Genomic DNA, 14554 nt, shown 5'->3' with positions numbered 1-14554 from the left:
CCTCTGTCCAACTCTGTAACTTCATAATTTCAGTTATTAAAATGGGATAATCCAGTTATTAAAACTCAGCCTCATTTGTTTTAAAACTCCAACTTCATATACTTTTTAAAGTGTTATTTTGATTTTAATTGGCATATAATTGTACATTTCCATGATGTTTCGATACATGTATACGTTGTATAATGATCAAATCAGAGAGATTAGCATATTCATCACCTCAAACACTTGTGATTCAAATCTTTCTTCCTTTCCCAAGCTCAGGCTCACCTGCAGTTCTAGGGATCTGGAGCTGGGAGGTGGTGTGGGCCGCTCCCTTTGCTGTTCCCCACCCCTTCCCCATCCTTCTGTAGAGGACGGAAGCTGTCTCCTTAAGCAAGAGCATGCATTAGTTGACGTTTGGTTTCTGATGGTTGTCACCACTGATCCATTTCCCTTGTTGGAGCCCCTCACTCCCATGACGCATCCGTGGCTTTCGTGTACCTGTGAGACACATCTGACCTTCACTTGGGGCCTCTTCCTATGCTCCTCAATCTAGTAACGCTTCAGCCCCAGTCTCCTCTTCCTTCCTTAGACTCTAATGCTGGGGCTCACGGCTTGGATCAGATTCATCTTTTATATCTCTGAGGCCTGGGAACTTGAGGGATATTGTCTTAGTTCTGGTTGCTATAACAAACTGCCATAGGCTGGGTGGCTTACACAACAAGCATTTATTTCTCACAGTTCTGGAGCCTGGGAAGTCCAAGATCAAGGTGCTGGCAGACCACATGTCTGGTGAAGGCCTTCTTTCTGGTTTGCAGATGGTCATCTTCTTACTGTGTCCTCACACGGCAGAGAGCAGAGAGAGAGGAAGCTTTCATTTCTATTTGTAAGTGTACTGATCTCATTCATGAGGACTCTACCTTCATGACCTAATTACCTCCCAAAGGTCGCACTTCCGAACACCATCACATTGGGGGTTAGGATTTCAACATATGAAACGAAGCAGTGGGAGGACACAAACATTCAGTCCATAGCAGGTATCCTTGCCCCTCTCCCCCAACACCAGCCACAGTGCTACTTCTCCCTGGTACACTTTGCCTGATTTGCAAGCACTTGGACAGGCAGGGAGTCCAGTGGCTAATCAAACAACCGGGAAGAAGATGCCAGTCTTCCCTTCTGGAATAAAATCTGAACTGTATAAGCAAGTCTTCTTGGGACTTCCTTCCTCAACTTCAATTTTTAACAAAGGAGTCCCTAAGGAACTGTGACAAAAGAGCACCAATTCCCTTTCCCTCCCAGAGTGGGGAGAAACATGACCGATCCTCATGAACACTATCTTCCCATCAGAGGCAACCTCCTCCTCCTCCTCCTCACTCACTTCCTTTTTTTTGTTTTTGTTTTTTTTTTGAGACAGAGTCTTGCTCTCTTGCCCAGGCTGGAGTGCAGTGGCACAATCTTGGCTCACTGCAACCTCTGCCTCCCGGGTTCAAGCGATTCTCCTGCCTCAGCCTCCTAAGTAGCTGGGACTACAAGTGGCTGCCACCATGCATGGCTAATTTTTGTATTTTTAGTAGAGAAGGGTTTTGCTATGTTGGCCAAGCTGGTTTCGCACTCCTAACCTCAAGTGATCGGCCTGCCTCAGCCTCCCAAAGTGCTGGGATTACAGGCATGAGCCACCGTGCCCAGCCCTCCTCCTCACTTCCAATCTTCCTTTGGTATCTCCAGGATGAAAGCCCCAAGCCAGTTCATCCACCAGTTCATCCCCCCTTCTGCCTAGAAGGGGGCCTTCTTTGAAGTAAGTGCTGAAGAATTTAGCAATTTTATTATCAGCAATGTCTCTACCTGAGGTGTTATCTCTGAACTACTAGGTAACCTCTAGGGCAAGTAAATAGTTCAGTTCAAACTCTCACCAACTCAGTTACAAGTTTGCTCCTGAAAGGCCTTTATTGGGAAGCCCACATTCCTGCATGAGGTAGTGAGGTGGTTTGCCTCCTTTTAATACACTGTTCATCATGCTACATTGCTTAGGAAAGGTCAGATTCGTGAGGTTTGTCATGGCAGAAAAATACTTCCAGAACCCCTAGGAATGGTGGCTGCACAAAGTCACTCATGTAGGGATGATTGTGCTTATTGATGGGGATCTGCAGGATGGGGATTGATTTTTCTCACTTGTCTCTTGGGGCTTATGGAGTGCTCATGAGTACTATTGCCACATGACAAAGCACACCAAACTTAGTGTCACAAAACATTAGCCATTTGATTATGCCCACAAGTTCTGTAGCCCAAGAATGTGAAACAGACATGATGGGGATGGATTTTCTCTTCACATGTTTTGGGCCTCAGCTGGGAAGATTAAAACACAGAGGGCAAACTGAGGCTCCAACTTCCATGTCTCTGATGCCTGGGCTGGGTGGACTTGAAGACTGTCACTGCCAACTGGAGCATCTACATGTCTCTTCTTCACTGGATTGCACCTCCTTACAACATGGCAGCCTCAGAGAAGCTGGACTTCTTACGTGGCAGCTTAGAGTTCCAAGAGTGTGTCACTGTATTCCCAAATCACAGGCCTTCCAAGACTCCGGCGGGGAGAATATGACTTGGGAGCTATTGTTATGATGGCCGTTCTAGGAAAACACCCTGCCATGGGAGCCCATGCCTCTTTTCCAGCCTCGAACATCTCAGATTCCAATAGAGCCAGGTGAAAGGGCACCACGCCTCTAGACAGGTGCATATCGACTAAAAGCACCAAGGACAAAATCACTATACTGCGGAAATATTGTTTATTCTAGAGAGTGAACAATTATTTAAGGTGTCTAAAGATATCAACAGCAGGAGTGGTTGTCCTGTCCTATTTTTCAAGAGTACAGTGCTCACAGAGGGAAGCATTTCTCATGGGCCATTTGTTGCAGTGCCACTAAGCCGTACCTCAGGGATAAAGCTGTCTCAGGATCCAGGGCAAAATTAAAAATTTGTGATTCCCACCCAAAAGGGCAAAGGCACCTCAGAGCATCGTCATCATCATTATTTTTTATTTTTATTTTAAGGAAATGAAGTCTCAGACATATTGTCCAGGCTGGAATGTAGCGGCTATTCACAGGCATGATCATAGTGCACTACAGCCTCAAACTCCTGGGCTCAAGCAATCCTCCCATCTCAATGTCCGGAGTAGCTGGGACTACAGGTATGTGCCACTGCACCCAGCAGGACATTATTTTGAGTGTCCCCAAGTGGGACAGCAAATGTTTGAATCTCTCTGGCCCCTTTGGGTGTGGTGACCAGGATGGGCCATCCATTAAGGTACATGGGGCTGGGGTTAGAGAATAGAGCTTCTCCCTATGAATCATGGAGTTGCCAAAACTAGAAAGTGAAGTTCAGCCAGAGAAGAAATGAGGTCCAAGCAACCACATGGAGGTTCCAGAGAAGGGAGGAGAACTAGATACAGAAGTTGTGACTGAGTCAGGCATTTGGGAGATAAAGAATTAGTTTGAGAGGAAATGGAGGAAGGGTCTTGTATTATGCTGTGCTGTTCAATGAGGTAGCCAGTAGCCATGTGCGGCTATTTAAATTTAAATAGCTAAAATGAAATAAAATTAAAAAGTCAGTTTTCAGTCACACTAGCCACATTTCAAGTGCTAAATAGCTACATGTGTCTAGTACATGCTGTATTAGGTGGCATAGATTATAGAACATTTACATCATCACAAAAAGTTCTACTGGACAGTGTTGACTCTATAACAATTGCCTAGAGCAGGCAGCTTTTTTCATGAACCAGCCTTAGCATGATGGCGGATGGGAAGGGGAAGGTGGGGAGGTAGTCAGGAGAATGTAAGCGTTCAAGAGTGGATTTGACTTTCCAAAACAACCCAGAGTCATCTGGAGCCAAGTCATACCCTGGATCTGGCATCCTCATGCTCAATAAATTTTTGATGATTAAATAAATAAGTGCTTGAGCTGTACAGTATCGTTTGGTGGGGATAGGGGTGGGGAGGAGACAGAGGCCTCTACAAAATAGAGGGGCTAAATTTTCTTGTGTAGCAGCTCATTAACTAAATGAAAGACATTCTAAGAGGAGCTTCAGAAATGTTTTGAGTAGTGTCAGCAACATCAGAATGAGTATAAAGCCTCTGAACATAACTACCTTGAAAGGGACCACATTCAACTAGCTGGCTGTGTTACCAAGATTAAGACCCCTAGCCACTCTGGGCTTCAGTTTCCTCAGCTGTAAAATGAAGAATTAAGACTGAAGACCAAACCCAGCTCTTTCTGTGTGTCTGTGATTTGGTTATTTAAACTCTATTATTATCATCTTTGTTAAAAGAGCTTTTCTTGTCATACCACAAAGCTACTATGAAAGCATCAGGGAGAGCAAATAGGTTTCATCTCATGAGCCAGTTTTGATTAATTGGTAGTACTTGCTTGGAAAACTCTGTTGGGAAGAGTTCAAGGCCAAGTTCAAGCTTAGTGATAGGAGTGTCCTGGTTGATTAGTAATGTCTGCCTTGGGGATGGGAGTGGTGGAGCACTGGGACACCTACCATCCCACCTTTAGGCACTGCCTTACCCAACACCCAAGCCTAAATGTTTACTTTCTTAGCCTTTCTTGCAATTAACAGTGGCCATGTAACACGATTCCTGTCTAGATGTGTGTTAGCGGCTATGGCAGCCATCTTGTGACCAGGAGGAAGCTTCTGAGAATCACAGAGATGCAACCTCTGAAGCTGCCAAACCACTGCCAGCAGCTGCCTAACCACTGCCAGCAGCTGCCTATCTCCAGACATCTTGGTAGGTGAGAAAAATAACCCCCTATTCATTTCAGTTCCCAGAACTTGGGATTTCTGTTACTTTCGGCTAAAGGTTTTCTGGATACATCCCAGATCACGCATCTGCCTTTGCATGGGCACACATAAATGGTCTTTGCTAAATTTCTACTACTTGTCCTTTTCATTCAACTTCTTAGTGTTCAGAGGTGTTCCCCTTTGTCTCTTCTCTGGGATTTTGAATTTATGCTACTCTGCTTGAGGAAGCTCTGGAGACATATTCCTTAATCACAACATTCTGTGAATATTGAAAGCCTGGGCAATGGAAAGAACATTGGCCAGAATGTCAGGTGGGGCAAGTTCCATTCCTACCACTGTCACTCACTGTGTGTACTCAGACAAGTCACTTGGCCTCCCAGGACCTCAGTTGCACTCTGTAAAATGAAAGGCTGGATTATAAAACTTTCAGAATCTCTTTTTAGCTCTAACTCCTATGGACCCTGATTGAAATGGATGTAGACATGTTTGTTTTTCCTTTTGTTTCATGCTTTTCCTTGGGTAACTGCACATTTTACCTTCAATAGGTACACATTATGAAAATCCACCTTGTCGGTGAAGTATAGCTCTTTCTTCATGCTGAAGCAATAGTTCTTTGGCAAGGAATAACCAAGGAGTTTTGGGATAAGACAATCGGGTCAGACACATGGCTCCATCTCAGAACTATCTTGACACATCTGTCTCTCTCTGCCTGCCCTTTGCCTGCCTGAAATTTGATATTCAAGCTATCCTACTACCTGGATCTGGGAAGCTCCTCCATGTTTTGGATTTCTGCATGCCGGATTTGTCCTTTCTCCCCTGGCCCCAACTCCTTCCCTATTTATTTTCACCTCTAATAACCTCTGATCTTTCCTTTGTGCTCAACATTTCTTAACCTGAAATCTGTAGGGTAGGCCCTGCTCTAACCACAGGCCCAAGGAAATCAATGAAAACAATAGTATTGCCCCTATATAGAGACTAAGATCTGTGCCTGTAAGCACTCCCTACCCTTCCCCTTGTATTCAGTCTTAGTGGCTCCAGACCCCTCCTTGTTAATGAGAAATCACTAGGATCCTTGTGACATGGTCTGCCTCCCTACCCAGGTTCTCAGAGGTAGCTAGCCACATGCAATCAGATGCATTAAGTAGCTGCCTTGTCAACATGCAGCAGCCAAGAAAAGTCCTTTCTAATCATACTTCCTGTGGACTTTGAGATTCAAGTTCCATTAGGTACTCCAATGATCCCAGCAATGTGATAACATTTCTATAGCAACCTCCTCAGGTTCATGCAAGCCAAGCACTCAGGCACCTTGGTTCCACCTCTGAGGCATGAGTGGACTGCTTATCTCCTGACTTTTAAACACCTATCAGCTGTCCCAACACTTGTGTAAATTTGTCCATTTGCTACTAGCCAAAGATGAGAACTGAGCTTGGGAAGTCATGGGGGAAGAGCCATAATGCATAACTCAATTTATCCTGGTTGCAAAATTAATTTAGGTGAACATAAGTCTACATGGCAATTAAAAGACTGCACACTCTGAGTGGGAGATTTCCCATCTTAGTGGAGAGCATACATGAAATTTTGCCTCAGCATCTGATCTGTAGTCCCTGCTCTATTCACATGGGCCTCTGCTCATATGTACCTGTTGTCTGGCTTTCAGACCTGTGAGTGCTTGCTTGACTTTCCTTTAAACTGTAGATTAGCTATCTGGATTTCTGATCTCCTGTGTTAGCTGGCCTTTAGTAACAGCATGCTCTTTTATGCTTGCGTACTTGTACCTCTGCACTATTGCATGTTGTGGCTCTAATAATATATATTTGCTTACTGTTTTTTTTTTTTTCATTGCTAACATTTCCATGGAGTAGCCCTGTTCTCTATAACCCATCACCCAGGATAATAGCCACAGACTATGATCCACATAGATATTTTGGACAATTTTCAATAACAGGCTGACAAATGTTAATCTTAGAAGTTGGTTAACATTTCAGAATACTAGGTAAACTCTGCATTACTGCAAACACAAGGTAATTAGTTTTCCTTTAGCTTAGGTTAGCTGAATCAATCTCAAAGAATAGAAAAAAAAACCACGAAGACCATTCACACTTTAAAGGGTCCCCCTCAGCTGTCCTTTACCTCCTTCCCTGCAACCAACAGTCTCCTATGGACATGGGATCTCTAGCATTCTCAGAGCGTCTGTAGGAAGAGATGGAGTTATTTATGAACACTGTGCATGATTACATGACTGTTACAATAATTCATGTGGAGTCATCAAATGGATGCTTAAGCCTTGCTAAATATATCGGACGGAAACTTTTAAAAATTTGAAACACAATTATGCAATTGGCTTTTGAGGTTCACATTCTGAAAAGGCATGTATTTAAAGATAAGGGGAGTTTCTTTCTGGCTTGGAAACTTACCATCTCTGGCTCTGAAACCATTTTAGAAGCCAGATGACTCTGCAAGTTGGAACCAAACAAAAGAGATGAGAAATATTCTGCTGTGAGCAAGTATTTCCTTTTAAGTTATGAAGAAAGGCATTTACTTCAGTTCTTATACAAGATTTCTTGTGATATTTTCCCTTCCCAGATTAGGTTATTTCTTCTGCTAACAAGCTGGATAATGTCCCAAAACAATCTAAATTACTGAACTTCACTAAATTTTGGAAAATGCTCTAACAAAATCTCATCAACACCTTGGCTACTGTCAAAGTTCCCAGATTCTAGTCTTGTGTATGCCATTTAATGTCTTTATTAGCATATGTGTATAAGAATAATCATGATGATAGTTTTAATCTAATACTATTTTCCTTGTCATGACAAGAACTGCTTAATGTGCAAAATAATAAACATGACTTCACACTTGCTGCAAAAAATAGTGAAAATCTGCATCAATCCAGAACCACACACCAAATGATAGTCTGAGTTGCTCTTCCTAATATGATACATTTTTAAACCATACATCCTGAATCACTGAAATGTATGAAACCAATGATTACATTTGTTGGCCTGGGAAAATTCAGGACAACGATCTGATATAATAATAATAATAAAAAAGCATTTATTTTACAATGAACAAGTTTTTTCAGACCAGAATTTTAACTAGTGACATTTCTCAGGCAGCAGTAATGCTATTGCCATGGATTTTCCAGAGAACATTTCACTTCACTGTTATTTATAACTTAGCTCAGCCTCTTTCTATTATTTATATTTAAATGTAGAAAGAAATCTTTTCCTGTTCCTATTTCTTTGGATTTTTCTTTTCAACACCCACACAAATCCATGAGTCATAAATGAGACTATGAAAATGAATGGTTCCCCATCACAGAAGAACACTCTTTGGCTACTCATGTGAGTTTAGATATAGTTGTCAAGGTAGGTTCAAACTGCAAATGAAACAATGTCATGTGAATTCTACTCAGAAAAAACAGAAATTAGGGAGTTGGCATATTGTCCTTATATTTTAATTTAACACAATAGATTTTTTATACAAACACATCCTTTTCTGAACTCTCACATAAATACTGTAAAATATGTATAAGTAGTAGAATGGGATGGTAAGAACCCAGCTTCTAATCTTAGCTCTCCACTTCCTGATTAGGTGAACAGCTAACTGTGGCCATCTGCAAAGCAGACAATACTGTCTGTCTAGCCTCCCCAGCAATGTTGCTAAGAGGGTCTAATGCATAAAATATGTAAGAGTGTTTTGTAAACGATAACACGCCATCACAATTTTAAGATATATTTATTACCGTTTCTTTAGCTAAATTAATTGTATGGGCAGAAGAATGACTAGGCAGTGGAATGAACTGACAGGCAGATTATAAATTCGTCTACTGCTGCAAACAAATTTAATGTTAAACTTAGTCCCCAAGGATCTGATAATGAATTTGGTCCTGTAATACAAAAGGACACAATTGATCACCATAAGTCAAGTCCAATTCAACCTGAATGATCCAATGATGAGTAAGTGACAAATGTCCAATATAGAGAGATGTTATTGCTTTTTGCAGTTGAACTCAGTTTCATTTTTATCCAAGAGTGAACTGCCCCTGCAAAACTCCATCTTAGTTATTTTGCATATGAGTATGTACCAAATGTTACAAATGTTATTCATCACCCTTTATAATAGTGTCTCTGTTTTAGAGATGAAGAAATTGAAAAAAAATTTTTTTTTGAGATAAGGTCTTGCTCTGTTGCCCAGGCTGGAGTGCAGTGGCCTGATCATGGCTCACTACAGCCTCCACCTCCTGGGCTCAAGGGATCCTCCCAATTAAGCATCCCTAGTAGCTGGGAATACAGTCACATGCTACAACACCTGGCTTTTTTTTTTTTGTAGAGATGGGATCTCACTGTGTTGCCCAGGTTGGTCTTGAACTCCTGGATTCAAGCAAACTTCCTACCTTGGCATCCCAAAATGCAGAGATTACAGACATGAGCCACCATGCCCAGCCTTGAAATCTTAGAATAACTTTATTATTATATAATTATAATAGCATATAATTACAACTCTGACCAAAGTTTTATGAATTAAACAAAGTTGTAATTATATGCCATTACTATTGTATTTGAACAAAAATTGTTAGAGTATTTGAATTGCATTTTTAAACTTTTTAGCTGAGCTAGGTTTACCAAACATACCAAAGGGTGTAAAACATGAAAAAATTCAAAGGATAATAATATAAATGGTAAACACTCCAACAATATTGAAGAATATATAATGAAAAGTTAGTCTCTCTAGCAGGGCAAACACTCACGTCACCCATCTCACTTCCTTCCAAGAACATACTCTAACCAATCCGGTGTGTCTATGCTTTTAGAATTTTTTGCATATATAAGCATTTATATATCTATTCTTTTAAAAACAAAATACAAAGGGTAGCATAATATACTTGCTATTCCACTTTTTTTTAATTTAACAATATATCTTGGAGGTAGTTCTACATCAACTTATTTCATATTTGGACATATAACAATTTGTTTAACCAGTTCCCTACTTATGAGCAATATTCTGCTGTTACCAACAAGGGCAAAATCCTTGTACATATATCTGCACATATTTTAAAAGGAAAGAATAAATTGATACTCTAAGACTTATTGAAGTACAAATTCATTACAAGTAAAAATAGAAAAAAGGGATTATCCATAATTTCTTTAAGTTTGAAAAAAATCCTCTGAATTATTTTTTAACCAGATGAGAAAAACAGAATGGAATGCCATAGCTTAACTTAAGTAAATTTGACCCTATGCTGATAAACATTTGGATGTTGCATATGATCACCCAAAAGTAAACTACTCTGCAGCCAACTTCAAGTGACACTCTAGTGTTTAGACAATAGTGAACTTCCCATAAAAAATAAACAAAGCAAAGTTACCTTCAGCAAATAGAGGAGATGTATGTAAGAAGATGATATTCAGCTTTGCTGCATTAAAAAAAATTGGAGAATTTTGCTATTTGGACTTGGTTTGAGGAGTTGTTTGTGGCAAGTCTCAGGACATAATATAATTTCACAAAAATGGTGCCATGCAGGTCATTTTCTCTGAGACTTCCAGGGAAGGAAAATATAGCCCTCCAAAATGAGATGGGGAGATTGCCTTTCCCAGAGGCCCCACTCTCAACTCTGCACGTCAGGCCCACTTTGGTGGTGCCAAGGCTAACATGAGCTGGTTTGGAGATAAAACCATCCCATGTGCCCATACGATGGAGACCTTCCAGAGCATTGTCACCACACTTGAATCTACTCTGCACCACTCCCTGAGATCCAGGAGAAGATGGTCTGGCAAATGCTTCCCTTCACCTATGGCTTTATTTGTGCCTCAGTTTCCCTTGCATTTTCTGCATTGTTCACCTAATATCAGTCTTTTTCTTTAATGGATATATTGTTTATCTAGCTTTTCAGGAAGAGATACATTTGCTTAAAAATAGATTGTCTTCATTATTATTCCAGTTAATTCCAGGATGATGTCAAAAGCAGTCCTGTTTGCTAGTGGCTGTGAGAAACCCTGTGTCTGGTCCTGCTGTGTGACTTACCAATGTCCTCCTCATCTGAAAAACTGGCATCCCAGAGTTTTTGGAAGGAGCAGACATGCAATGTGGTTTAAAATGCGTGTAAGCGACTAAAATTTATGGATCACTGTAAAAGTGTCAGCCATCCTAGTGATTATTTATCTTATCTCTGTCGCTTTTATGGCTATGTAGGTCCTGAGGCCGGATGGGAAGGGAGTTCTCTAAAGATGAATTACACTTAACGCCTCTCATTTTCTCTGCAGCCAAACCAGTGTGATTGCATAATGATCCTAACTCCTTTCACTGGCTTAATGGCTACATTTCCTTCCATGGATAGAGATTTGGGGGATGAATGTTTTTTACGGATCTTTCCCTTTGGCCATATTTCCAAGTTGTAATCCCTTTTAGGGTTTTGTTAGGATTATCTCAAGGAAGATTTTTAATGTCCTTGCTTGCCAACGTCCTGTTGGCAGGAGGACGCATCAAGAGTCAGCCAGTCCTAAAACTCTACTGCCAGGAAATGAGGCAGCAGTTAACAGGCTAGGGGAGCCGAGCCACATTCAATCTGCATCCTGCTCCGCGTCTGACAGGCTTTGCTCCTTCTGCCGACTTAAACAATATATTGTTTTCTTCTGATATAGAAGTGAATAAGTGCTTGTAAATAATTCAAACAATCCAGAGATGTATAATTTAGGAATTCAAAGTCACCTATTATTCCTTTCTCATAACTACTGTTAACAGTTTGTGGATTATTTCTCTGGATTTCTTTCTATACATATACTAAGATATGCATTCATTTTCTAAAGTGGGAATTAGAGTAGACACAAAGTTTGGCATCTTACTTTTACACTTAATACTACATATGAGACTTTTTCCTCATCTTTAAATGTATCTCATTCTTGTTAAAAGCTGCACAGTATTGTATGGAAGTAACACACATTAATTGGAATCTTACTAAAGAATATTTGGGTTGTTTCCAATATTTCAATATCATAAAAAGGAGTAAAATAAATATTTTTGTTCATATTTATTTGCAGGCTTGACCAAGTGTTTTGGTTGGATAAGTTCCTAGACATTGCTGTATACTCTTAAACAATGTTAAAATTTTAATTGCAAAATATGACAAAATAAGCTGTATTCTATTACTGGAGTAAGAACTGTTGCGTGAAGAAAATTTGGTCAAACCAAAGTGGAAATTTAATTGCCGCTGTAACAGTGGGATATTTGAGAAGTGGTTAGGCCATGAGGTGCTCTGCCATCATCAATGTATTAATGCCTTTACCTTGGGAGTGTGTCCTTTATAAAAGGATGTGTTCGGCCCCCTTTTGTCTCTCTCTCCCCTCTCCCTCTTTCTGCCCTTCCACCATGTTATGAGGCTGCAAGATTTTCGAGGTGCCAGAATTTTGATATTGGATTTCCCAGCCTCCTGAACTGCGGTTCAATAAATTTCTGTTTATTATAAATTACCCTGTCTTATGAATTCTGTTATAGCTTCACAAAACAAACTAAGACATGTATACAGGTGCTCACCACTCTCTTCTGTTCACTTGTCTTTTTTTTTGTGTGTGTGTGTTTTTATTTATTTATTTATTTATTTATTTATTTATTTATTTTATTGATCATTCTTGGGTGTTTCTCACAGAGGGGGATTTGGCAGGGTCATAGGACAATAGTGGAGGGAAGGTCAGCAGATAAACAAGTGAACAAAGGTCTCTGGTTTTCCTAGGCAGAGGACCCTGCGGCCTTCCGCAGTGTTTGTGTCCCTGGGTATTTGAGATTAGGGAGTGGTGATGACTCTTAACCAGCATGCTGCCTTCAAGCATCTGTTTAACAAAGCACATCTTGCACCGCCCTTAATCCATTTAACCCTGAGTGGACACAGCACATGTTTCAGAGAGCACAGGGTTGGGGGTAAGGTCACAGATCAACAGGATAAGAATTTTTCTTAGTACAGAACAAAGTGAAAAGACTCCCATGTCTACCTCTTTCTACACAGACACGGCAACCATCCGATTTCTCAATGTTTTCCCCACCTTTCCCCCCTTTCTATTCCACAAAACCGCCATGGTCATCATGGCCCGTTCTCAATGAGCTGCTGGGCACACCTCCCAGACGGGGTGGTGGCCGGGCAGAGGGGCTCCCCACCTCCCAGTAGGGGCGGCCGGGCAGAGGCGCCCCTCACCTCCCGGGCGGGGCAGCTGGCTGGGCGGGGGGCTGACCCCCCCACCTCCCTCCCGGACGGGGCGGCTGGCCGGGCGGGGGTCTGATCCCCCACCTCCCTCCCGGACGGGGCGGCTGGCCGGGCGGGGGGCTGACCCCCCCACCTCCTTCCCGGACGGGGCGGCTGCCGGGCGGAGACGCTCCTCACTTCCCAGACGGGGTGGCTGCCGGGCGGAGGGGCTCCTCACTTCTCAGATGGGGCGGTTGCCAGGCGGAGGGTCTCCTCACTTCTCAGACGGGGCGGCCGGGTAGAGGCGCTCCTCACATCCCAGACGGGGCGGCGGGGCAGAGGTGCTCCCCACATCTCAGACGATGGGCGGCTGGGCAGAGACGCTCCTCACTTCCTAGATGGGATGGCGGCCGGGAAGAGGCGCTTCTCACTTCCTAGATGGGATGGAGGCCGGGCAGAGACGCTCCTCACTTTCCAGACTGGGCAGCCAGGCAGAGGGGCTCCTCACGTCCCAGACGGGGTGGCGGCCGGGCAGAGGCTGCAATCTCGGCACTTTGGGAGGCCAAGGCAGGCGGCTGGGTGGTGGAGGTTGTAGCGAGCCGAGATCACGCCACTGCACTCCAGCCTGGGCACCATTGAGCACTGAGTGAGCCAGACTCCGTCTGCAATCCTGGCACCTCGGGAGGCCGAGGCTGGCGGATCACTCGCGGTTAGGAGCTGGAGACCAGCCCGGCCAACACAACGAAACCTCACTTTTCTATAAATGTGAAAACTATCCAATTAAAAAGCTGAAAAAAAAAGAACCAAGATAATTACCCAAAACCATATAGTAAGTCCTCACTTAATGTCATGGATAGGTTCTAGGAAACTATGACCTTAAGCAAAATGATGTATAATAAAACAATTTTTTCCCTCATCAGTTTTATAACAAATCACATTGAGGGAAACAATGTTATTCTAGGACTGCCGTATGTCACTTTGCTTAAAGTCACAGTTTCCAAGGACCTATAAGGACATTGAGAATTTACTGCATCTTGCTTTAATTTGCATTTCTTTCGTGAACGAGGTTGAATATTCTTTCTCATTTTCATTTACTAATTCCCATTTTAATTATGTGACTGAGCTGATATGACCCTTTACTCATCAGTGGGGGTCTTAATTGTTTCATATATAAGCTCTTTGTAGATATTGATACTAAAATCCTGAAACTCATTATTGCAAATATCTTTTTCTCAAACTATTTTCCTGTAATATTGGAAAGCCTGGCTCTAGGCTGGCCCACTTTTCTCTGATCTCCTCCCTGAGTGATCTTACCCGGTCCCATAGCTTAATGGATCATCTACATGCTAATGATTTCCAATTTTAGATCTGTAACAGTGACTTCTCTCGTGTCTTCCAGCAACATCCCAAAGGTAATGACAACCTTGTGCCCTGACATTGGTTTCCAAATATCCTTCCCAAGTAAAATGAACTAGGGCTCCATGGAGAAATGGCTGATTTCATGGCAGAAGCAGGAAAAGTAAAAGATAAACCTAGAACGTCTTGTTGTATCAGAAAGTAAGGATGAGTTCAAAGAATGATGAAAATTTGTCAAAGGGACACAGAAACCA

General features: G+C 42.2%; 1 long non-coding RNA gene across 1 annotated transcript in view, besides 3 other annotated features; it reads left to right on the top strand.

The window, feature by feature from the left end:
* Positions 1-14554, top strand: part of IL12A-AS1 (IL12A antisense RNA 1) — a 293693-nt gene that overhangs the window by 15135 nt on the left and 264004 nt on the right. The window contains exons 2-3 of the long non-coding RNA NR_108088.1: positions 3024-3160; positions 4619-4760. This is a non-coding gene — a long non-coding RNA (IL12A antisense RNA 1). The remainder of the gene's footprint in view (positions 1-3023; positions 3161-4618; positions 4761-14554) is intronic.
* Positions 11182-11476: a silencer, noted in NCBI's record as "tiled region #14309; K562 Repressive non-DNase unmatched - State 21:Repr". NCBI's record gives its function as "represses a minimal TATA promoter and a strong SV40 promoter by Sharpr-MPRA in K562 cells {active_cell/tissue: K562}" and the evidence as "EXISTENCE:reporter gene assay evidence [ECO:0000049][PMID:27701403]".
* Positions 12302-12897: an enhancer, noted in NCBI's record as "NANOG-H3K27ac hESC enhancer chr3:159896848-159897443 (GRCh37/hg19 assembly coordinates)". NCBI's record gives its function as "activates a minimal SCP1, AML or CMV promoter by ChIP-STARR-seq in naive H9 embryonic stem cells {active_cell/tissue: H9 hESC(naive)}" and the evidence as "EXISTENCE:reporter gene assay evidence [ECO:0000049][PMID:30033119]".
* Positions 12898-13494: an enhancer, noted in NCBI's record as "H3K27ac hESC enhancer chr3:159896251-159896847 (GRCh37/hg19 assembly coordinates)". NCBI's record gives its function as "activates a minimal SCP1, AML or CMV promoter by ChIP-STARR-seq in naive H9 embryonic stem cells {active_cell/tissue: H9 hESC(naive)}" and the evidence as "EXISTENCE:reporter gene assay evidence [ECO:0000049][PMID:30033119]".

Source organism: Homo sapiens, chromosome 3 (assembly GCF_000001405.40).
Source record: "Homo sapiens chromosome 3, GRCh38.p14 Primary Assembly".
NCBI lineage: Eukaryota > Metazoa > Chordata > Mammalia > Primates > Hominidae > Homo > Homo sapiens.
Note: the sequence above shows the minus strand (reverse complement) of the source record. Positions and strands in the feature narration are given on the sequence as shown.